We start from the raw sequence: 21,409 nt of genomic DNA, 5'->3' as shown, positions 1-21,409 counted from the left end.
TCTATATATCACTACTTGCTTCTTACTGCTGCTAATCTCTCGACTGCCTCATCATGCCCTTTTTGGCATCTCAAGTCTTCCATCACCTATGTTAACAATTCTCTGTATTAAAGTCCCACTACAGGAAGGAGGAAAAGAGGAAGAGCAGGAGGGAAGGAGAAAGCTAGCACAAAATGGCCCAGGCCTATCTTTGCTGACTCTAGTGTACCCACTGGCTAGCTAACACCAGCCTCATTTCACAATGGAAAAGAAACAGCAGTAACATCAAAAAACTCTCTAGATTACTTGTGTAAACCCATCCTTCTCAAACTGTGGTATGTTGTGGTCATTTCATATCGCTTTTTCTTTTTATTTTAGAGACAGGATCTCCCTCTGTTGCCCAGGCTGGAGTGCAGTAGCACAATCCTAGCTCACTGCAACCTCAAACCTGGGCTCAAGCAATTCTCCCCACCTGAGCCTTCCAAGTACCTAACATTACCAGTGCGTGCCACCACACTTTTTTTTTTTTTATAGAGACGGGGTCTCGCTGTTGCCCAGGCTGGACTTGAACTCCTAGCCTCAAGCGATTCTCCCACCTCAGCCTCCGAAAGTGCATGAGGGTACAGGCATGAGTTATCATGCCTGGCCATGATGCTTTGTGTTACACAGTATACCAGGGTGCTTTAATGTGAAATGCAAGATAAGCATGTCCAATCCTTCTGTTGTATCCATAGTAAGTGATTTTTATAATTATTTGTATATTAAACCACAAGGGTGCTAGAAAATTTAATGGTAAATAGACGATGGACGATTTAATGGTAAACAGTCTTCAACAAAAGGTGCTGGGACAACTGGATATCCATATGCAAATGAATGAAGTTGAACCCCCTCTCTCTTATTATTAAAAAAAAAAAATTTCAAAATGTATGAAAGACCTAAACTCAAGGACTAAAACAACAAAATTCTTAGAAGAAAACATAGTGGAAATCTTTGTGACCTCGGATTAGGCAATGGTTTCTTAGGTAGGACACTAAAGCACCAGCAACAGCAGCAAAAAATGTATTTCCTCAAAACAACTTTTGTGCTTCGAAGGATATTTTCAAGAAAAGTGAACAGACAACCCACAGAACAGGAGAATATACTTACAAACCATATATCTAATAAGATACTAAAGGAACTCTTACAATCCATAATAAAATGACAACCCAATTTAAAAAGAGGTAAAGCCGGGCACGGTGGCTCATGCCTGTAATCCCAGCACTTTGGAAGGCTGAGGCAGGCAGATCACAAGGTCAGGAGTTCGAGACCAGCCTGGCCAACATAGTGAAACCCCGTCTCTACTAAAAATACAAAAATTAGCTGGGCGTAGTGGCACATGCCTGTAATCCCAGCTGCACCTGTAGTCCTAGCTACTCGGGAGGCTGAAGCAGGGAAACTGGTTGAACCCAGGAGGTGGAGGTTGTAGTGAGCCAAGTTCGTGCCACTGCACTCCAGCCTGGGCTACAGAGCGAGACTCTGTCTCAAAAAATAAAATAAAATAAAAAGAGATAAATGTGGCTGGGAACAGTGGCTTGCACCTGTAGTCCCAGCACTTTGGGAAGCTGAGGCAGGAGGATTGCTTGAGGCCAGGTGTTCAAGACCAACCTGGCCAATATAGTGAGACCCCATCTCAATTTTAAATTTTTTTTAAAAAAAGGTAAATGACATGAATATACATTTCTCCAAAAACAAAAAAGTGTCCAACATTATTGGCCACCAGGGAAGTGCAAATCAAAGCCACAATGAGATACCACTGTACACCTTCTATATGGCTACAATAAAAAAGAAATGTTAGACAGGATGTGGAAGTGTCAAAACCCTCATACACTGCTGACAGGAATGCAAAATGGTGCAGCCATTTTGAAAAAGTCTGGCAGTTCCTCAAAAAATAAAACCAGGCCAGGTGTGGTGGCTCACACCTGTAATCCCAGCACTTTGGGAGGCCGAGGCAGGCAGATCACCTGAGGTCAGGAGTTCAAGAACAGGCTGGCCACCATGGTGAAAACCTGTCTCTACTAAAAGTACAAAATTAGCCAGGCATGGTGGCACACGCCTGTAATCCCAGCTACTCAGGAGGCTGAGGCGGGAGAATTGCTTGAAACAGGGAGGCAGAGATTGCAATAAGCCGAGATCACGCCACTGCACTCCAGCCTGGGTGAAGAGTAAAACTCCGTCTCAAAAAAAAAAAAAAAAAAAAAAAAAAAAAAAAAAAAAATATATATATATATATATATATATATATATATATGAAACCAGAGTTATCATATGAACCAGAAATTTCCATCCTAGGTACATATCCAATAGAATATCCAATGGAAATGAAAACATATCCACACAAAAAACCTATACACAAGTATTTATAGCAGCATTATTGCCAGAAATTGGGAAAAACCCAAATGCCTACCACTGATAGATAAAATATGGTACATTCATACAATGGAATATTATTCAGTAATAAAAAAAGAAATAAAGAGTACTGACACGTTACAATCTTGAGAACATCATGCTAAGTGAAAGAAGTCAGACACAAAAGAAAGCCTATTGCATGATTCTATTTATATGAAATGTGCAGAATAGGGAAACCCATAGAAACAGAAAGTAAATTAGTGGTTGCCAGGGTTTAGGGGTGGGGAGAATGGGGAGTGATGGTAATGGGTACACAGTTTCTTTCTGGGTGAGGAAAATGTTCTAAACAGTGGTGATGCCGGCACAACTCTTAAAAACCAGTGAATTGGCCGGGCGCGGCGGCTCACGCCTGTAATCCCAGCACTTTGGGAGGCCGGGCGAGGTGGATCACAAGGTCAGGGGTTCGAGACCAGCCTGATCAACATGGTGAAACTCCGTCTCTACTAAAAATACAAAAATTAGCTGGGTATGGTGGCAGGTGCCTGTAATCCCAGCTACTCAGGAGGCTGAGGCAGGAGAATTGCTTGAACCCGGGAGGTGGAGGTTGCAGTTGCAGTGAGCCGAGATCACGCCACCGCACTCCAGCCTGAGTGACAGAGACTCCGTCTCAAAAAAAAAAAAAAACACACACACACACGCACACACACAGTGAATTGTACACTTTAAAAGGGTAAAGTATACAGTGTGTGAATTATATATTTTTTTAATGAGGGAAAATGATGACCAAAAAAAAAAAAAAAAGATCTTGCATCAGGACTCCATCTCTTTCCCATATATTCAATGTGGCTGCCAGGTCCTACTTATTTCTGTGGTATCGCTCACATTTTTCCCCATTAATTCCCAATGACCTCAACCTAGGTTGAGATCTCTCACCTGAACTACTAAAAAAGCCTTCTAACAAGCATTTTTAAACTCATCTCTCATTTCTCCCTTTCTTTGTTTTACAATTCAAGAGTTATCTTCCCAAAAGTGTGATGATATCACCGAATTACTCAAAAACTACTTGAAAATATAAAGTTGAAATTTTATACGAAAAATTTAAGGTACTCCACAATCTGGCCCAATCCTGTTACAACCGTATCTGCAACATTTTTTCCTATATACCCTCTTCTCCAGCCACATTATTCCACAAAAATGCCTTGTACTTGTATGCCATTCTGTATTTCTTGCTGTTCTCTCCCAAATGAAATTATTTCACCTCTATTTTTGCCTATTTAAATCTAAACCAGCCTTGAATGTTATTTAAATGCTTATTCCTGCCTTGATTTTCCTGCAACAAAGTGAATCATTTCATTCTCTACATTTCATTCACATTCTGTAACGCTACTGTTAAAACAAGGCAAGACAGAAGAATAGTATAGGTTTGAAGGTCAGATAGGCCTGTGTTCAAATCCCAATCTTGACACTTATTTATCAGCCACATGGCCTTGAACAAATTACTTAACCTGAGCTTCAATTTTCTGACCTGTAAAATGGGAATAATAATACATCAGAGTGATCCTGAAGATCAAATAAAGTATAATGAGCACACAGGAATCCTCAGTATATTAGTTTCCTTTTCATATTTCAGTTTGCTTTATATTCATGTTCACATGTCTGTCTTCCCCACTAGACTAGACACTGGTTGAAAGCAACACTATATAAGGTCCCAAAAAAAACTGTTAAAGCGTACCACATAATAAAAAGTATATAGGCTATATAGATGCAAAACTGATCAACTCTTAACCTATTGTAGGTATTAAATATCTACTAATGCAACGACATAATTAAAAATTCAAAAGTTGTAATTAGTAACTTCCTCAATATTCCATTTGAAAATATTCTAGTTGGCTACGCAGAAATGGAGATTTAACTAGTAACCTTGATTCATTTCTTATGGTCAATTATTCTAATATTTTATGAAGAAATAAAAACAGAAAAATGGAAGAAAAACTTAAGTCACTGTTAAGGGGGAAAAAATCCATTTTAAGAAAAATGTGATTCTACAACTACATGGATAAATCTGGCATTATACTGAGTGGAGTAAGTCAGACATAAAAGAGTACATACTGTATGATTTTTTTTATATGAAATTCTGTAACAGGCAAAACTAATCTAGTGATAGAAATATGAGCATTTGTCTGGGGTAGCAAGTGGGGAGGTAGACTGACTGCAGGAGGGTATGGAAAGCCTTTTGGGAGAGAGGGAAATGTTCTAAATCTTGATTGGGGCATATACATTTGTCAAAAATCATCAAGCTGTACACTTAAAATCTGAGCATTTTATATGTAAATTATACCTCAATTTTTAAAAACTGTGAGCCATAAAGAGCCAATGTCTTCAAAAGTAGCAAAGAAATATCAAATATGTTAAATTATCCACCCATGCTATTATATAATAAAAACTGAAAACCGGTCAGGCACAGTGGGTCATGCCTGTAATTCCAGCACTTTGGGAGGCCAAGGTGGGTGGATCATCTGAGGTCAGGAGTTCGAGACCAGCCTGATCAACATGGTGAAATCCCACCTCTACTAAAAACACAAGAATTAGCCAGGCGTGGTGGTGTGTTCCTGTAATCCCTGCTACTCAGCAGGCTGAGGCAGGAGAAACGCTTGAACCCAGGAGGCGGAGGTTGCAATGAGCTGAGATCGCACCACTGCACTCCAGCCTGGGCGAAAGAGGGAGACTCCATCTCAAAAAAAAGAGGCTGGGCATGGTGACTCATGCCTGTAATCCCAACACTTTGGGAGGCCAAGGCAAGTGGATCACCTGAGGTTAGGTTCAAGACCAGCCTGGCCAACATGGTGAAACCCCGTCTCTCCTAAAAATATAAAAATTAGCTGGGCGTGGTGGTGGGGCACCTGTAATCCCAGCTACTCAGGAGGCTGAGGCAGGAAAATCTACTAAATACAAAAAATATTAAAAATACTAAAAATACAAAAAAATAAAAAAATAAAAATTAGCCAGGCATGGTGGCAGGCACCTGTAACCCCAGCTACTCAGGAGATTGAAGCAGGAGAATCACTTGAACCTGGGAGGCAGGGGTTGCAGTGAGCCAAGACTGCACCATCCCACTCTAGCCTAGGTAACAAGAGCGAAACTCTGTCTCAAAAAAAAAAAGAAAAAAAAATATTAAAACATGATGGGAGTATTGGAAAAGCACATATTTACTGGGTGCGGTGGCTTACGCCTGTAATCCCAGCACTTTGGGAAGCTGAGGCAGGCAGATCACCTGAGGTCAGGAGTTCAAGACTAGCCCGGCCAACATGGTGAGACCCTGTCTCTACAAAAATACAAAAATTAGCTGGTCATGATGGCAGGTGCCTGTAATCCCAGCTACTCAGGAAGATTAGGCAAGAGAATCGCTTGAACCCAGGAGGCGGAGGTTGCAGTGAGCCGAGATCGCGGCATTGCACTCCAGCCTGGGCAACTGAGCAAGACACTGTTTCAAAAAAAAAAAAAAAAAGAGAAAAGAAAAGCACACATTTGGGATTGTTTCTGATATATAACTGTGGGTTTCACAGAAGTAGTTTTGGCTGCTAAAATAGAAAATGTTGATATTAGATGTTACTGTAGTACTATCAAGAGTAACTATTCACTACCACGATTATAACTGAGCAATTACATTTGGCAGACACTGAATTTAAAAAAAAAGTAGCGTTGTTAAGAACTGTTATATAGTGATCTTAGCTCATGGTTAACAAATTAAAAACTGCTTTGCTAATAAAAATTTGTAGAAAATTGGTGACATCTTAATAACTCATACCTAGGGATCTTTACACCAACAATTTTGTTATGACAATTTCAGTAGTCTGAAAAGACCGTGTATTTGTTTAAAGGTAAAGTTTGCAGCTTTTAGAGGGAAAAAAATCTTTAAAAAATCGGTGGAGCTGCTTTCTTTACACCTTCCTTTTTGACAATTCTGTAAATTATACTCCACTGTACTGACAAATAACAAAGGCAAAGGTATCAGAGTCACAAGTTCAATTTTTAAAAAATTTACATTTCCAACCATGCACGAGTAAAACATAGGTTTCCTTACCTCATCATCATCATCAGAATCATTCCCAAACACTGATGGTTTTTGCAAAACAGGGTGCAACTGCTGTGTTTTCTTTGGCAAAATAAGCCCATACCTGCATATATTTTTTTTGAAATAGAAATTAAACCTTTATGTTTAAATGTTAACAAATACATCTACTACCTCTTCCACATGAAGCTACCAAATCAAAACATGTCATAAGCTTTATGAACACGTAACAGACTGTTTTTGCTTCTCAGTGATCTCAAAATTCTAACATGCCGTAAGATTCTATAATTACTACTCTAAGTGATCATTTGTGGACACGGGCCAAACTCGAATACCATTTTTATCAAAGAAGAGAAGTAAATGAAAAGTTCAGAAATGTTTTAAGATGGCGAAGTGACAGTAACATTTAAAAAAAAAAAAAAAAAACATGTGTAGTGGAAAGTTTAGTTCATGTCCACTAAAGATTTTAAAATGCTTTCAACTATCCTTGTGGTCTAAACAGTCAAGAAAATGGCTAGATTTTTTTTCCTACTGTGTACTTACACAGTTTCTAAGAACTGACTGGATAGTGTAACTCACGAAAATTTTTAAAAGATAACTGAGAAACCCAAGTAGCCATGGGGCAAGTTCGCATTACACTTTATTAAGATCATGTGCTTTGCCTCGGAGCATCTGAGAGAACCATCCCATCAGATCCAACTCCTTTAGTTTCTCACGTTTTGGCCTTTAAGATGCGGAGATCACGGGAGGCCGCATCAAAAGTAAGGATTACACATCAAAGGTAAAACTTTCAAGTACGTACAGTATTTGTCTCTTTTGCGGCAACGTATACCCCAATTTCCTATATGCCTACCCTTTTTCTGTGGCTTCTCAGAACAATATTCCTAAAACGAGAAGGAAGGGCGGGAATCAGGACTTGAGCTTCTGCCAAGGAGAACAAGGCCCTCTAAGGAAGCCAGGAACTGTCTCTCTTCACACTGCCCCTGAGAGCATCCAAGCGGGGAGAAACTCAAGCGCGGGTTAGGAAGCAAGACTGAGGGGCCTCAGACCGAGCTTTTGGAAAATAGAAAAGTCTCGCTCTCTGCCCCTCAGCCTAACTTCCTTTATTTCCTCACAAGTTTCTCCCTCAAACTTCGGGCTTCCATCCGGGAAAATGTACGGGGGAGGGGAATCTATGTTCCTCAGGACTTCTCGTTTTTTCCCGTCTCTACCCTTGACGACACAGTCCCTTCACTTCCAGCGCATTTAAAACTCCTCGGCCAAAGATACAGTCGCCGTAGTTTCTCATCCCCCAGCCTGACCCTAACTCCCGGATCACTCACTGCCTGCCCGGAATCGCCATCTTGCTCCCGTGTCCGCTGAACGTGGCCGACGCCTCCGTGACGCTGACGCCGATGTCGTCACGTAAACTCTCGCGCGGCTTTGGGTGGCCCGGATCCTGCTTGTCGGTTGAATCGCTGGTTTGAGTCACTTCTATGGTACTGGGAATCGGATCCAGTGACCTCTGTTTTGTTTCGGAGCCCACCGGCTGCCTCAAAATCTGTAGGAGAAAGGAATGACAACGTTCTAGGCCAGTTGTTCGCAGTGTGTGGTTCTGGGACCAGCGGCATCAGCAACACCGGAGATACTGTTAAAATGACAAATTCTCGGGCCCTACCCCAAACCTGCAGAATCAGAAACTTTGGAGTGAAGCGAGTTATCTGAATTTTAACCAGCGGGTAATTCTGATAAAGTTTGAAAACCACTGCCATGGCTATCGATATTCCCCCTACCCCCTTCCAAGTGTTCACTTTAACTGGTTCAGGATAATTAGGCGAAAAATGAAAATCTGTGTATTAATAATACCTTACATAGGACCAAAATTATTATTAAAAAAAAAATTTTTTTTTTGAGACGGAGTTTCGCTCTTGTTGCCCAGGCTAGAGTGCAAAGGCGCGAACTCGGTTACCTCAACCTCCGCCTCCCGGGTTCAAGCGATTCTCCTGCCTCAGCCTCCCGAGTAGCTGGGATTACAGGCATGTGCCACCACGCCCGGCTAAGTTTGTATTTTTAGTAGAGACGGGGTTTCTCCATGTTGGTCAGGCTGGTCTCGAACTCCCGACCTCGGGTGATCCGCCCGACTCGGCCTCCCAAATTGCTGGGATTACAGGCATGAGCCACCGCGCCCGGCCCAAGGACCAAAATTATTAATAATACTGTTCACGGGCCATTGGGTATAGGAATCAGGATCATATATGATACTTTTTTTTTTTTTTTTTTTTTTTTGAGACGTAGTCTCGCTCTTGTCGCCCAGGCTGGAGTGCAGTGGCATAATCTTGGCTCACTGCAACCTCCGCCTCCCAGGTTCAGGCGATTCTCCTGCCTCAGCCTCCTGAGTAGCTGAGATTACAGGCGTCCGCCACCATGCCTGGCTAATTTTTGTATTTTTTTAGTAGAGGCGGGGTTTCACCATGTTGGCCAGGCTGGTCTCAAACTCCTGACCTCATGTGACCCACCCGCCTCAGCCTCCCAAAGTGCTGGGATTACAGGCGTGAGCCACCGTGCCTGGCCCATATATGATACCTTTTTGAAAACTCTGCCCACATCTGTGCACTCATTCACTCTTGGTTCATTCCCAGCTAGTCTCAGAGCAGCCAAAGAGATCAATTACTGAGATAAGGATGTTGAAATCTCCAACTATAATTGCGAATTTGCTTCTCCTTTCAATTCTATCAGTTTGTGTCGTGTATTTTGAAATTAGGTATGTAAACATTTAGGATTGTTACGTTCTCTTGCATTAACCTCTACTAACCTCTATAGCATTAAGAAGTGGCCCTCTTTATTCCTTTATTCTTCTTTGTCTGCTTGGTCTGCTATCAATATAACTAGCTTTCTTTTGATTAATGCTAGCATAGTGTATCTTTTTCAACCCATTTTAATCTATTTGTGTATTTACATTCAAATTGGATCACTTGTTGACAGAAAATAGTTGGGTCTTGCTTTTTTATCCAGTCTGACAGTCTCTTCCATTTAATTTGGATGCTTAAAACATTTTCATTAAAGTGACTATGATTGCAGGCTGGGTGGGGTGGCTCAGGCCTGTAGTCCCAACACTTTGGGAGGTTGAGGCCAGCATGCACAACATAGCCAGACCCCATCTCAAAAAAAAAAAAAAAAAGTATGATTGCTATTTGTTTTCTATTTTTCCCAACTGTGATTCAGCTTATGATTTTCATGCTTCAGCCTCCTTTGTTGGTTTATTGACCATACTTCTTTGCTTGTTATATAAGCTGTTGCTTTAGGGTTTCTAATATATGTCTTAAACTTATCACAATCTGCCTTAAAGTAAGAATCTACCACTTTGTGTATAGTATAAGAAGCTTAGAAAAGTATACTTCCATTTTATCTCCTAGTTTTGTGCTATTGTCACTATGTCATAAATGCACAATAAATTATTTTTGCTATAAAAAGTAACTTGGTTTTTAAAAAGATTTTTTTGAATAGGAAAAATACGTTTACCCACATATTTATCATTTCTGGTGTTTCCATGTCTTTGTATAGATTCAGATTTCTATCTAGTATAATATTTTTAAAAATATTTTTAAAAAGTTTTATTGAGCGATAATTCACATATCATACAATTCATTCATTTAAAGTGTGCAATTCAGTGGGGTTTAGTATAGTCAAGTTGTATGTTTAGTATAGTCATAGTTGTACTACCCTCACCACAATCAATTTTAGTTTTGTTTTTGTTTTTTGAGACAGAGCCTTGCTCTGTTTCCCAGGCTGGAGAGCTATGGTGCATCTCAGCTCACTGCAAGCTCCTGGGTTCAAGCCTCCTGGGTTCAAGCGATTCTCCTGCCTCAGCCTCCTAAATAGCTGGGATTACAGGCGCCCGCCACAACACCCAGCTAATTTTTGTATTTTTAGTAGAGACAGGGTTTCTCCATGTTGGCCAGGGTGGTCTCAAACGCCTGACCTCAGGTGATCCACCCGCCTCAGCCTCCCAAAGTGCTGGGATCACAGGTGTGAGCCACTGCACCTGGCCAATTTTAGATTATTTTTAATACCCAACAAAGAAACCATATACCTATTAGTCACTCCTATTTTCCTCCAAATCCCCCAGTCCTAGGTAAATATTTTATGTCTATAGACTTGAAGTTCTATCAGTTTTAGCTTCATGTATTTTGAAGCTCTGTTATTAGGTTTAAGATTGTAATGTCTTCTTAATTGACTTTTCATTATCAAATAACCTTTATCATTATAATATTCTTTGCTCTGAAATCTACTTGTGTGATATTATAGCACTCCAGTTTTCTTTTGACATTAACTCTAGGGAAAGCAAAAGGATGTACAGGAATGGAAAATAATTGTAATTTACAACATGGCTAAGCTGTAAATAGCATACATAATCATGATAATATAAACACTGAATATTGATCTATTCTGATTACATTACCATGTAATAATATTGGGAAGAATGGATGGGAAGCGTGTGTGTATATATGCTGAGGAAGGAGCTAAATCTTTGTATTGTATACTGGGAGATTAATAGATATTGCCTAAATCGGAAAAACAAAAGTAGCCACACAAGCATGTAATTTAACAATATAGAGGTAAATGTCAAAACCACAGCTAAAATAGGGGTTGGCAAACTTTTTCTGCAGTCAGATAGCAAATAGTTTAGTCCATGTGACCCATATGGTTTTTGTGGCCACTACTCAACTCTGCCCTGGTAATGTGAAAGCAGCCACAGACATGGGCATAGCTATTCCAATAAAACTTTATTTACCATACCAGGCAGCTGGCCAGATTTGGCCAATGGGCTGTTTACCAACTCCTGAGCAAAAAGAATTGAAAGTAGCTGACTCAGAAGCAAGGAAAATAAAGGTAAGGTGGGGCTGGGAAATGCTGTGGTCTCAACAGACCTTGTATAACAGAATGACTTTTTATGAGTATGTGTTACTTTGCTTAAAATAAAGAGTAAAAAATAAAGCCCCCTGCCAGGGCTGCCTGCCTCTTGCTTGAATAGACTGAATGGGGAATTAGTTACCCATAATTACCCAGGGGAGAACTCAATATCCTACATAATTTGAGTTTTTCAATTGTTATATTCTGTATTCTTCCATTGCCTTTGGGACATTTTAATGAAGCAGTCATGGGATTTTCCCTAGGCTAGAAGGGACAGTTTCTCAGATGCAGTGTTGTAGAGTCTGCAGCAGTGGTGGTAACTGCAGCAGTGAGTAAGGGCACAGAGAAGCCTCTTAACATTTTAGAACCCAACTTTTGAAACTTTAACAAGAAATGCTGTAAGGACAAGCTGGGTAAACCAGTAAAAGATAGTATCATCACTACCATCCTCATGGATGTTATACAACAGAAATTTCCAATCATCTTAAACTTCCAGAACAGAACAGTTGACTAAATTGGATCCATTACCGAAACCCTTGGATCTTCCACTTAATCTTTTGACACTAGTGTTACTAATGTTAACTTCACTACTTTCAGTTTCTTCTCTTTGCACCCAATCTTTTCCCCAACCAACTACTCACACCTTTTCTCTACCTATAGTTTCTGCTAACTTGTAGCATCTTGAAGGCAGTATGCACCAACTTCCTTCAAGGCCTGTCATGACACCTTTGGCCTCTCTAAGCACTTAATTTCCTTTTATTTTTTAAATTTTTATTATTTTTTATTTATTTATTTACTTATTTATTTTTGGAGATGGAGTATCATTCTGTTGCCCAGACCGGAGTGCAGTGGTGTGATCTCAGCTCACTGCAACCTCTACCTCCCAGGTTCAAGCAATTCTTCTGCCTCAGCCTCCCGAGTAGCTGGGATTACAGGCATGCACCACCACGCCCGGCTACTTTTGTATATTTAGTAGAGACAGGGTTTCACCATATTGGCCAGGCTGGTCTCAAACTCCTGACCTGGTGATCCACCCGCCTCGGCCTCCCAAATTGCTGGCATTACAGGTGTGAGCCACCGCACCCGGCCTTAATTTCCTTTTAGACACTGCTCCCATTGCTGTTTCCCAGTTTGGCTTGTCCATGGTTTGGGTGCTTTTTATATTAGGCCATTTCACAAATTGGTCTCACTTTGGTAAGGGGTCACCCCTAATTCAAACAACTGTAGCTACAGAGTCAGTCACGTAATGGCCACCCAGGGTTGCCTCATCACTTGAAGTCCCTGGGCAGGACAGTCTAAGCTCAGACAGTAGATGGAGGAGAGGTTAAATACGGTTAATGACTAGGAAATGGTACACCTACTGAGGGTAGTAACCAAGTTTAAGGGCAGAGAAATTAGGCAATATTTATTTATTTATAAATTTAACAAATTTGACCAAGAAAAAGATTATGGAACTGGACAGCATTCTAGACCAAAGATGGTTCACAATGGCCCTTCTTGCAAAGTGGTGAGCTATATTTATAACCAGAAAACAGGTGAAATAGGTAATATTTAATTCACTGATCTTGTCAGTTGAGAGAGGTTTTTTAATTAAAATTTTTATTTTTGCTTTAAAAAATTTGTTTAACTTTTAGGTTCGGGGTACATGTGCAAGTTTGTTATATAGGTAAACTTGTGTCATGGGGGTTCACTGTACAGATTATTTCATCACCCAGGTATGAAGTCTAGTATCCAATAGTTACTTTTTCTGATCCTGAGAGAGGTCTTTGTAACAAGATTCTGTGGAAGGAGAGTAAGAATATGGCATTGATGATGTGGGGTGAGGTTTTTGGGACTGGCATTGCATAAAACCTCATATATGAGAGGAATGCACAATTCTTTTTTTTTTTTTTTTTTTTCAAGACGGAGTTTCGCTCTTGTTGCCCAGGCTGGAGTGCAATGGCGCGATCTCAGCTCACCGCAACCTCCACCTCCCGGGTTCAAGTGATTCTCCTGCCTCAGCCTCCCGAGTAGCTGGTATTACAGGCATGTGCCACCATGCCCGGCTAATTTTGTATTTTTAGCAGAGACGGGTTTTCTCCATGTTGGTCAGGCTGGTCTCCAACTCCTGACCTCGGTTGATCCGCCCGCCTCAGCCTCCCAAAGTGCTGGGATTACAGGCATGAGCCACTGTGCCTGGCCTGCACAATTCTTAAATTACCTTCAAATGGTCTTCTGAGTTAGAAGATTGAGAATGTCTAGAAGTTCAGGGCATCTGGTCGCTTAAGCATATTTAGATTAAGAGGGAATTGGCTGGGTGCACTGGCTCACGCCTGTAATCTCAGCACTTTGGGAGGCTGAGGGGGCCAATCACTTGAGGCCAGGAGTTCAAGACCAGCCTGGCCAACATGGTGAAACTTGTCTCTACTAAAAATACAAAAATTAGCCAGGTGTGATGGTGTGTGCCTGTCATCCCAGCTACTTGGGAGGCTGAGGTACAAGAATCACTTGAACCCGGGAGGTAGAGGTTGCAGTGAGCCAACATTGCACCACTGCACTCCAGCCTGGGTGACAGAGTGAGGCTCTGTCTCAAAAAAAAAAAAAAAAAAAAAAAGAGGGAATAGGAGGCCAATTACAAAAGACCACATGTTGTATACAAAATGTCCAGATGGGCAAATCGGTAGAGAAAAAAAATTAGCGGTTGCCTAGGGCTGGGGGTAGGGGAAAGTGGGGAGTGACTGCTAATGGGTATGTGGTTTCTTATTGGGATGATCAAAATTTTCAGCGGGCGCGATGGCTCACGCCTGTAATCCCAGCACTTTGGTAGGCCAAGGTGGGCGGATCACGAGGTCAGGAGCTCGAGATCAGCCTGGCAAACATAGCGAAAACCCGTCTTTACTAAAAATACAAAAGATTAGCCGAGCTTGGTGGCCGGCGCCTGTAATCCCAGCTACTTAGGAGGCTGAGGCAGGAGAATCGCTTGAACCCAGGAGGCTTGAACCCAGGAGGTTGCAGTGACCCAAGATGCACCACAGCACTCCAGCCTGGGCAACAGAGCAAGGCTCTGTCTCAAAAAAAAAAAAAAAAAAAAAAAAAATCTAAAGTTGATTGTGGTAAGGGTAGTACAACTCTGTGAATATACAAAAAAAAAAAAAGTAATTCTACGCTATAATGGGTAACTTTTATGGTATGTGGATATGTTAGTAAAGCTGTTTAAAAAGGCAATTGGAGCTTTTTTGAGACTCCATTGTCATTATCTTGATACTTCATGTTGTTCCTGAGCCATGACAAGCCAAAAGTATAAAAGAAAGTGAAGCTGGGCGCAGTGGCTCATGCCTGTAATTTCAACACTTTGGGAGGCCGAGGCGGGAGGATCACTTGAGTCCAGCAGTTTAAGGCTGCAGTGAGCTATGATCAAGCCACTGCACTCCAGCCTAGGGGACAGAGCGAGACCCTGTCACTTAAAAAAATAAAAAAGAAAGCAAAGGAGAGAAAGTGGTCTGGATGGTCTACACTGTACAGTGTCATTGTTACCTATGAGCTATCAGGAAAGAGCCAATAACAAATTCAGTTAATCAAGTCCAAGCTTCTGAAGCATATGTAAGTATAAGTAAATAAATAAATCTATTAACAGCGAAATAAATGGATTTAGATATAAATCTGTATCTAACCTTCATCAGGTATAAATAACATCCTCCTCACTCAAAATATAAGCTCCTAAGGTTAAGGGACAGTATTTTACTTGAATGATTATTTAATAAATTTAACCGATCTGGCTTGTTTGGCTGCAAATTTTAAAGTAGTTTTCAAAAGACTGACAGCATGGTCATTAGCCTAGTAAGAAAGTTGGAAAGTGTGAGATTTCTAGGGTGCTGGCAAGGGCAATAAACCAGAAATTATGTGCTAGGTCCGCTCTGCCTCTTATGCCTGTTGTGAACTGGGCAACTCATTTATAAAATAAAATAGAGATAATATCAGGACTACCCACTTTATAGATTATTGGAAGAATCAAATAAGCTAGTATGCGAAAACACTTCAAGTTAAAGTGCCATGCAAATGTATGATATTTTTCATCAAGCTAGAAGTCATTTAGTTAATTTAATTTCCAGGATAACGGTTACAAACATGGCATTCTGCAAAATCTTTCCTTCCTTGCCACCTAAAATGCCATTTGTATTCACAGTGAACTCTGTAAACTTGCTCTGAAGCCATCAGGATATGTGGTTATGAGTTTAATATCTTCAAGAACACTGTTCCTTGGAATGTTGCTCTGAAGGCCCTAAAAAGCCCCCTTCCAAATATGAAACAGGCATATAGGTTAAAACTGGCATGTGATCATCCGAGAGAGGAGGACTGGTAATAACACTGCCCTCTTATCAGAAAAGGTTAAAAAGGGACGGCCAATCTCAAATTATAAGATATTTGGACACATCACATTTTGTCAATCTAATAAAGAAAATAAAGTTTAATTTCCCAAAATTTTATTAAAACTGGACTCTGTCATCAGATATCTATTGCAAAGATGAAATCTCACCACAGAGCAGTAAAGTTTGTCATAAAAACAAGCTTTAAACAAATATAAATTCTTTTTGTACTTTTGAACTGAAGAGGTTTTTATCATTAAAAAAGTGTCTTCTTTTTTCCATGAGTCATGGACATTTTCCCACAAGAATTTCTGTTCATTAAAATGACTTTTGAGTACCCCATAAATATGTACAACTACTATGTACCCACAAAAATTAAAAATTAAAAAGTTAAAAACCAAAAGCAACTTTTGAGTTGTTAAGGCAAGAGTATGGAGGCAGAGAGAGGGAAGAGGCGATGTTTAGATAAGTCTTTGAAAAATTAGAAAAACAATTCTCAGTCCATTTCTTAAAAATCTTTATTATTTGGTATTCTTTTGGTTTATCTTTATTATTTCGTATTCTATTTGGTATTCTTGTTTTCTAAATCCTCAGCTGTTACTTTGAACCTTATAAGAATGAAAAATAACTACCCAATCAACCATAACAGTTCCACAGCAGATACAAAGCTCAAACTGAAAGGAAGCTTTCAAATATATTCTATAACATACTTAAATACACTTGGCTATGGCTACCTTAGCTGGGTATTTTTTGGCTAAATTTCTTCTTAGGTAGCACTTTTGGGTTTAGAAAGTGCTGAGATAAATATTAGCAGCAGAAGACATTTATAGGTACCCCTTTCCAATGGAAAATATTTTATAGTTAACAAACAAAACTGATAACAAACAAAGGATCCTAAATACAGTATCAATTCCATTATCATCCATTATCACTTCTCTTGCAAACCTTCCCCTGGCATTTTTGCATACATATAATTGTCAGTCTTGGAGGGCAACGGAGGTGTAATACCACTATTTAGTTGTTTGGTTATCTTCATGAGAGCTGAACAGATGTGTATCCAGTGGTATAGATGTTCAATGACAACATTACCAAATTTCCATACTTCAGTTCGGGAATGATCTGCATCAGGAAAAAAAAAGAAAAGTAAGAGTGGAGAGTTTTGCACTTTACTATTAAAATTATAAGTTCTAATATTATGATTAAAGTTCATTAGATATGTTTTGAGTCAAAACCAAGCAGAATCTTGTGTAAATATGTAATTACAGGAATATGGATAAATTTTGGTATAGTCATACAATGGAATACTTAACAGCAGTTAACAAAGAATTAGAGTTATTTGTATTCATGAATAAATCTCAAAATATTCAATACAAAAAGTAAGTTATAGAATAATGTGTACTTTTGGGCACAATTAAACGGCTTTAAAACCTGCAAGATAGTATTATATTATTTATGGATTCATTAGCATATAGTAAAAATAAGAAATCATGCATGAAACCAATACCAAATTCATGATAGTATTATCTCTAGGGAAAGACGAGAAGACAGTGGGATCGAGGAAAGATAGAAATCCTCAACTGTTCCTATAATGTTTTCTTTAAAAAGTCTAACTCAAATATAGTGTTAAGGTTGGATATAGAATATAGCTTCATAATGACTATGCAGGTATTATTCTCTATACTTGCATGTTTGAAATATTTCCTAATTAAAAATTATTTAAAGCTATATAGTAACTGCACACCATTATATGTTTTAAGTTTTTTAAATTGAAAACTGTTAAACTGTCATTCATAAAAGTTGCTTTTTCCCAGGAGTCAATGACTAATATTCAAACAGAATGGTCCAATGGAAAGACTATATAGAGTTGAACAGATGAGGGTTCTGTCCAATGGAAAGACTATATAGAGTTGAACAGATCTTGGCTCTACACCAATGAGTTTTGTCACTTAACTGCTCTGAGCCTCAGTTTCTTCTTCCATAAAACAAAATTGTAAGAATTGTTTTTTTCTTTTGAGACAGGGTCTTGCCCTGTTGCCCAGGCTGGAGTGCAGTGGCACGATCATGGCTCACTGCAGCCTCAATCTCCCATGCTCAGGTGATCCTCCCACTTCAGCCTCCCAAGTAGCTGGGACCAGAGGCTGAGAAAATATATGTGAAGATCTGTCACAGAGTAGTTGCTCAAAAATATTAACTACCGGCTGGGCACAGTGACTCACACCTGTAATCCCAGCACATTGGGAGGCAGAGGCAAGTGGATCACTTGAGGTCAGGAGTTTGAGATCAGCCTGGCCAACATGGTGAAACCCCATCTCTACTAAAAATACAAAAATTAGCCAGGCGTGGTGGTGGGCACCTGTGATCCCAGCTACTTGGGAAGCTGAGGCAGGAGAATCGCTTGGACCTGGGAGGTGGAGGTTGCAGTGAACTGAGATTGTGCCACTGCACTCCAGCCTGGGTGGCAGAGTGAGACTCCATTTCAAAAAATAATAATAATAATAATTACCCCCTTTCTTTCAGATGCCTCTCATCCACAAGTCTATTTTATTCATTTCTGTTATTCCTAGTAACTAACTCAGTGCCTAACCCAATACATGTTTGCTGATTTGAGTAAACCATTTGGTTATAATTGAGTTCAAGCTTTATTATTTATTTATTTATAATTATAAATAAATAATTTATTCATTATCTTTAATAATAGAGACAGGGTCTTATGTTGCCCAGGCTAGTCTTGAACTTCTGGCCTCAAGCAATCCTCCCACCTCGGCCTCCTAAAGTGCTGGGATTACAGCCATGAGCCACTGCACCTGGCTTTTTTTTTAATTGAGTAAAAGCTTTTAAATATCAAGTCTTCTATCCAATAGCTTATTAACAGTAATGACAATGATCTATTAGAATTGCTAAGCAGAACATATTTTATTTTCTTGTCTTTTATCAACACAAAGGAACAAGATTCTCTGAATTAGGTTTAGCTGTCCTATGGTTTGGAAGGAACTATACAACAAAAGGTATAATATGGGATAGGAATGGCACGTAAAATGTGGAAAACATTCACAAGTCTCAATTTTTATTTGAAGCTGACTTTAAAGCGTGGATCCAATTAATTTTCTAAAATTCTCTGTTTTAACACACACGCACACACACACACCACCCTGGCATTGTCTTTTCTCATTCAATTATAAGTGTTCAATAAATGTTAAATTGAAACATTAAATTAAGGAATAATGAATTAGGTTTCTCAAATACTAAAATTCTTTCCAGATTATAGCTCAGTAACATTAGAGAGAATTATGAATAAAAACAAAACAGATGCTGGTCATGAGATCACATTCAAAATACCTGATTCATCTCATTTTATGAGCAATACTAGACCAATCGACATACATACTTAAAATATTGAAGGTGCATTTGTTATAATTCATCTCTCTTTCTGTTTTTTGTTTTGTTTTGTTTGTTTGTTTCGTTTTTTGAGATGGAGTCTCACTCTGTCGCCCAGGCTGGAGTGCAGTGGCACCTTGTGGGCTCACTGCAACCTCCGTCTCCTGGGTTCAAGCGATTTTCCTGCCTCAGCCTCCCAAGTAGCTGGGATTACAGACGCCCATCACCAGGCCTGGCTAATTTTTATATTTTTGGTAGAGACGGGGTTTCATCATGTTGGCCAGGCTGGTCTCGAACTCGTGACCTCAGATGATCCGGCCTCCCAAGGTGCTGGGATTACAGGCGTGAGCAACCGCGCTCGGCCAATTCATCTCTCTTTCTGTTAATTAGTTTCCTGGAAACCCTGCAAGGTAAATGATACAGGTTTCCAAAGATAATGTTTCAATGCTATGAAGCTAAATAAAATTCACCCTAGGACACTCCTAAAAGTCCTTATTTTCGGAGACAAAACAGCTCTGCTGCTCCCCTCAGCTTTTCTTCCGCCCTTCCCTAATGCCCATGAAGAGCTCTGTTCCTTTGACCCCTGCCACAGTGTTCTTATCTGAACATCCACGTGAGCAGACGCCCATCTGCAAGCCATTATTAAGCTAGTCGCCATCTCCATGGTGATTCAACGACACGGGGATGGTGAGCGAGGTCGCTGTCTTTCACAAGACCCTGTTGCTTATTTCCTGTGTTATTGTTACCGAGACAGAAGCTCCGAAAGTGTCTGGACGGTGGTTCCTGTTTCCCTGTCCTTTCCAGAGGTTGATGCGTTAACGACCGGCTCTAACGATTCCTCTAATGAGCCTCCAGCGCTCTGCTGGGTTCCCTATTAACGGTTGAGTGCTACTGCCCTCTTGTGGTAGATGCAGGCCGGATCTTTGCAGCTTGACCCACGACAGACCCCACTCACACAGACTTTGCAATTTTTTCAAGCAGATAAACGCTTCTTTTATAACCATAGAAATAACGCTTTTTTTTTTTGCTTTGCTTTGGAAAAGTGTATAGTAAATTATTTGAATATATCTAAGCTATAGAGAGTACTGGGTGACCTTTGAGTCTATCTATGGACATTAGTTCAGAAACATGATATTTTTGTAGGTTCTAGTTTAATCAAACTTTTAATTACATAGTGAATTCATTATGCTGGAAACACTGGGCTATAGTAGGATATTTCTGAATTAAAACTCCATTTATGGATCCCTGCTTTTAACACTGGATTAATAAAGTTAAATCTTTTGGGGATGATGGATAATTAGTATAGATGGGCAAAGCAAAAAGAAAGAAGTACTTAAGCTTCAAGTACAAAAGCTAAAATGTAACTGCTCCTTTCAACTAACAATCCAAGATCAGCCACATTTGTTGATGTTCCTCTCCTTCATTAGTTCTCTTAGTTTTAGTTCTCATTTCTATTGCTTCACATACCCCAAGTCACTCCTTAACATGACAGCCACACACAATAAACTGAAGGTCCTTGCAGCAATAGAAGGGTATGTGTATGCAAATTTCTTTTCTTTTCTTTTTTAGATGGAGTTTTGCTCTTGTTGTCCAGCCTGGAGTGCAATGGCGTGATCTTGGCTCACTGCAACCTCCACCTCATGGGTTCAAGCCATTCTCCTGCCTCAGCCTCCTGAGTAGTTGGGACTACAGGCATGCACGCCTGGCTAATTCTTCTGTATTATTAGTAGAGATGGGGTTTCACCACGTTGGCCAGGCTGGTCTTGAACTCCTGACCTCAGGTGATCCACGTGCCTTGGCCTCCCAAAGTGCTGGGATTACAGGTGTGAGCCACTGCGCCCGGTCATATATGCAAATTTCAATCAATCTTTTTGTAGGCAGGAGAATTTACATTTGCCATGGCAATCAGGAATTTAATATGTCATTGTTAATTTAATATGGTCCCAAAGGCACTGTAGTGTACTGCCTCCCAGATTTATCAGGAAAAATATCAATGTTACACGGGGAGTTAAAAACACATTTTTCTCTAGTAATCGAAGTTTGAGGGGGAAGTTTGTTCTAGGATGAATGCTGAGTTCTTGCACGTATATCAGTTTCATTCCCATGGCAAGCATATTTCTGTACAGTGTCACAAGCATAATTTCTGTACAATATCACATAATTTCTATACAATATCACATGTAGTGGCTTTTTAAATGATGTAGCTATAAATCAAGTCATGTGTAAATTGAAATCAATGCAAATTATATTTACAAAATTCATAGTTTAATGTAGTGGCCTCCAAACTCTTTTGCTCATGTACCTCTATCAGTAACAAACATTGAGCATGTGCCCATATATATATATATTTATAATATATATATTTATA

At 39.8% G+C, this 21,409-nt stretch overlaps 2 protein-coding genes and 2 non-coding genes across 16 annotated transcripts in view, besides 8 other annotated features; 1 reads left to right on the top strand and 3 right to left on the bottom strand.

Moving 5' to 3' along the window:
* The window catches only part of NSRP1 (nuclear speckle splicing regulatory protein 1), a 69,660-nt gene extending 61,857 nt beyond the window's left edge, over positions 1-7,803 (bottom strand). For 2 of the 6 annotated variants that reach the window (XM_047436917.1, NM_032141.4), the window contains exons 1-2: positions 7,756-7,803; positions 6,446-6,539 (exon numbers count right to left, since the gene is read on the bottom strand). In XM_047436917.1, coding sequence (XP_047292873.1) covers positions 6,446-6,537 — 92 coding nt within the window. In that variant the 5' untranslated portion in view covers positions 6,538-6,539; positions 7,756-7,803. Of the gene's footprint in view, positions 1-6,445 lie in introns of all 6 variants that reach the window. The other 4 variants (XM_047436918.1, XM_011525345.3, XM_047436916.1 and 1 more) reach the window with 4 other exon arrangements.
* Positions 7,093-8,292: an enhancer, noted in NCBI's record as "BRD4-independent group 4 enhancer chr17:28443345-28444544 (GRCh37/hg19 assembly coordinates)". NCBI's record gives its function as "activates an origin of replication core promoter dependent on BRD2, P300/CBP, MED14 and CDK7 cofactors, and independent of BRD4, by STARR-seq in HCT116 cells {active_cell/tissue: HCT116}" and the evidence as "EXISTENCE:reporter gene assay evidence [ECO:0000049][PMID:35650434]".
* Positions 7,371-7,440: a silencer, noted in NCBI's record as "silent region_8393". NCBI's record gives its function as "represses an Ori minimal core promoter by ATAC-STARR-seq in GM12878 lymphoblastoid cells {active_cell/tissue: GM12878}" and the evidence as "EXISTENCE:reporter gene assay evidence [ECO:0000049][PMID:35858748]".
* Positions 7,377-7,978: a silencer, noted in NCBI's record as "fragment chr17:28443659-28444260 (GRCh37/hg19 assembly coordinates)". NCBI's record gives its function as "represses an EF-1alpha promoter that drives an FKBP-Casp9 reporter gene in an ReSE screen in HepG2 liver carcinoma cells {active_cell/tissue: HepG2}" and the evidence as "EXISTENCE:reporter gene assay evidence [ECO:0000049][PMID:32094911]".
* MIR423 (microRNA 423) lies at positions 7,447-7,540 on the bottom strand. Its single transcript, NR_029945.1, has one exon. It is a non-coding gene; the product is annotated as a microRNA 423 (primary transcript).
* Positions 7,459-7,533, top strand: MIR3184 (microRNA 3184). Its single transcript, NR_036149.1, has one exon. It is a non-coding gene; the product is annotated as a microRNA 3184 (primary transcript).
* Positions 7,691-7,790: an enhancer, noted in NCBI's record as "active region_11990". NCBI's record gives its function as "activates an Ori minimal core promoter by ATAC-STARR-seq in GM12878 lymphoblastoid cells {active_cell/tissue: GM12878}" and the evidence as "EXISTENCE:reporter gene assay evidence [ECO:0000049][PMID:35858748]".
* Positions 7,821-7,920: an enhancer, noted in NCBI's record as "active region_11989". NCBI's record gives its function as "activates an Ori minimal core promoter by ATAC-STARR-seq in GM12878 lymphoblastoid cells {active_cell/tissue: GM12878}" and the evidence as "EXISTENCE:reporter gene assay evidence [ECO:0000049][PMID:35858748]".
* Positions 7,941-8,060: an enhancer, noted in NCBI's record as "active region_11988". NCBI's record gives its function as "activates an Ori minimal core promoter by ATAC-STARR-seq in GM12878 lymphoblastoid cells {active_cell/tissue: GM12878}" and the evidence as "EXISTENCE:reporter gene assay evidence [ECO:0000049][PMID:35858748]".
* The window catches only part of EFCAB5 (EF-hand calcium binding domain 5), a 178,550-nt gene continuing 173,307 nt past the window's right edge, over positions 16,167-21,409 (bottom strand). For all 8 annotated transcript variants that reach the window (XM_024450742.1, XM_024450743.1, XM_011524759.2 and 5 more), the window contains one exon: positions 16,167-16,785. In XM_024450742.1, the coding sequence (XP_024306510.1) occupies positions 16,595-16,785 (191 nt within the window). In that variant the 3' untranslated portion in view covers positions 16,167-16,594. The remainder of the gene's footprint in view (positions 16,786-21,409) is intronic.
* Positions 19,474-19,575: a silencer, noted in NCBI's record as "fragment chr17:28432062-28432163 (GRCh37/hg19 assembly coordinates)". NCBI's record gives its function as "represses an EF-1alpha promoter that drives an FKBP-Casp9 reporter gene in an ReSE screen in phorbol 12-myristate 13-acetate-treated (for megakaryocytic differentiation) K562 erythroleukemia cells {active_cell/tissue: K562(+PMA)}" and the evidence as "EXISTENCE:reporter gene assay evidence [ECO:0000049][PMID:32094911]".
* Positions 19,923-20,022: a silencer, noted in NCBI's record as "silent region_8392". NCBI's record gives its function as "represses an Ori minimal core promoter by ATAC-STARR-seq in GM12878 lymphoblastoid cells {active_cell/tissue: GM12878}" and the evidence as "EXISTENCE:reporter gene assay evidence [ECO:0000049][PMID:35858748]".

This window comes from Homo sapiens, chromosome 17 (assembly GCF_000001405.40).
Source record: "Homo sapiens chromosome 17, GRCh38.p14 Primary Assembly".
In the NCBI taxonomy this organism is placed as follows: domain Eukaryota; kingdom Metazoa; phylum Chordata; class Mammalia; order Primates; family Hominidae; genus Homo; species Homo sapiens.
Note: the sequence above shows the minus strand (reverse complement) of the source record. Positions and strands in the feature narration are given on the sequence as shown.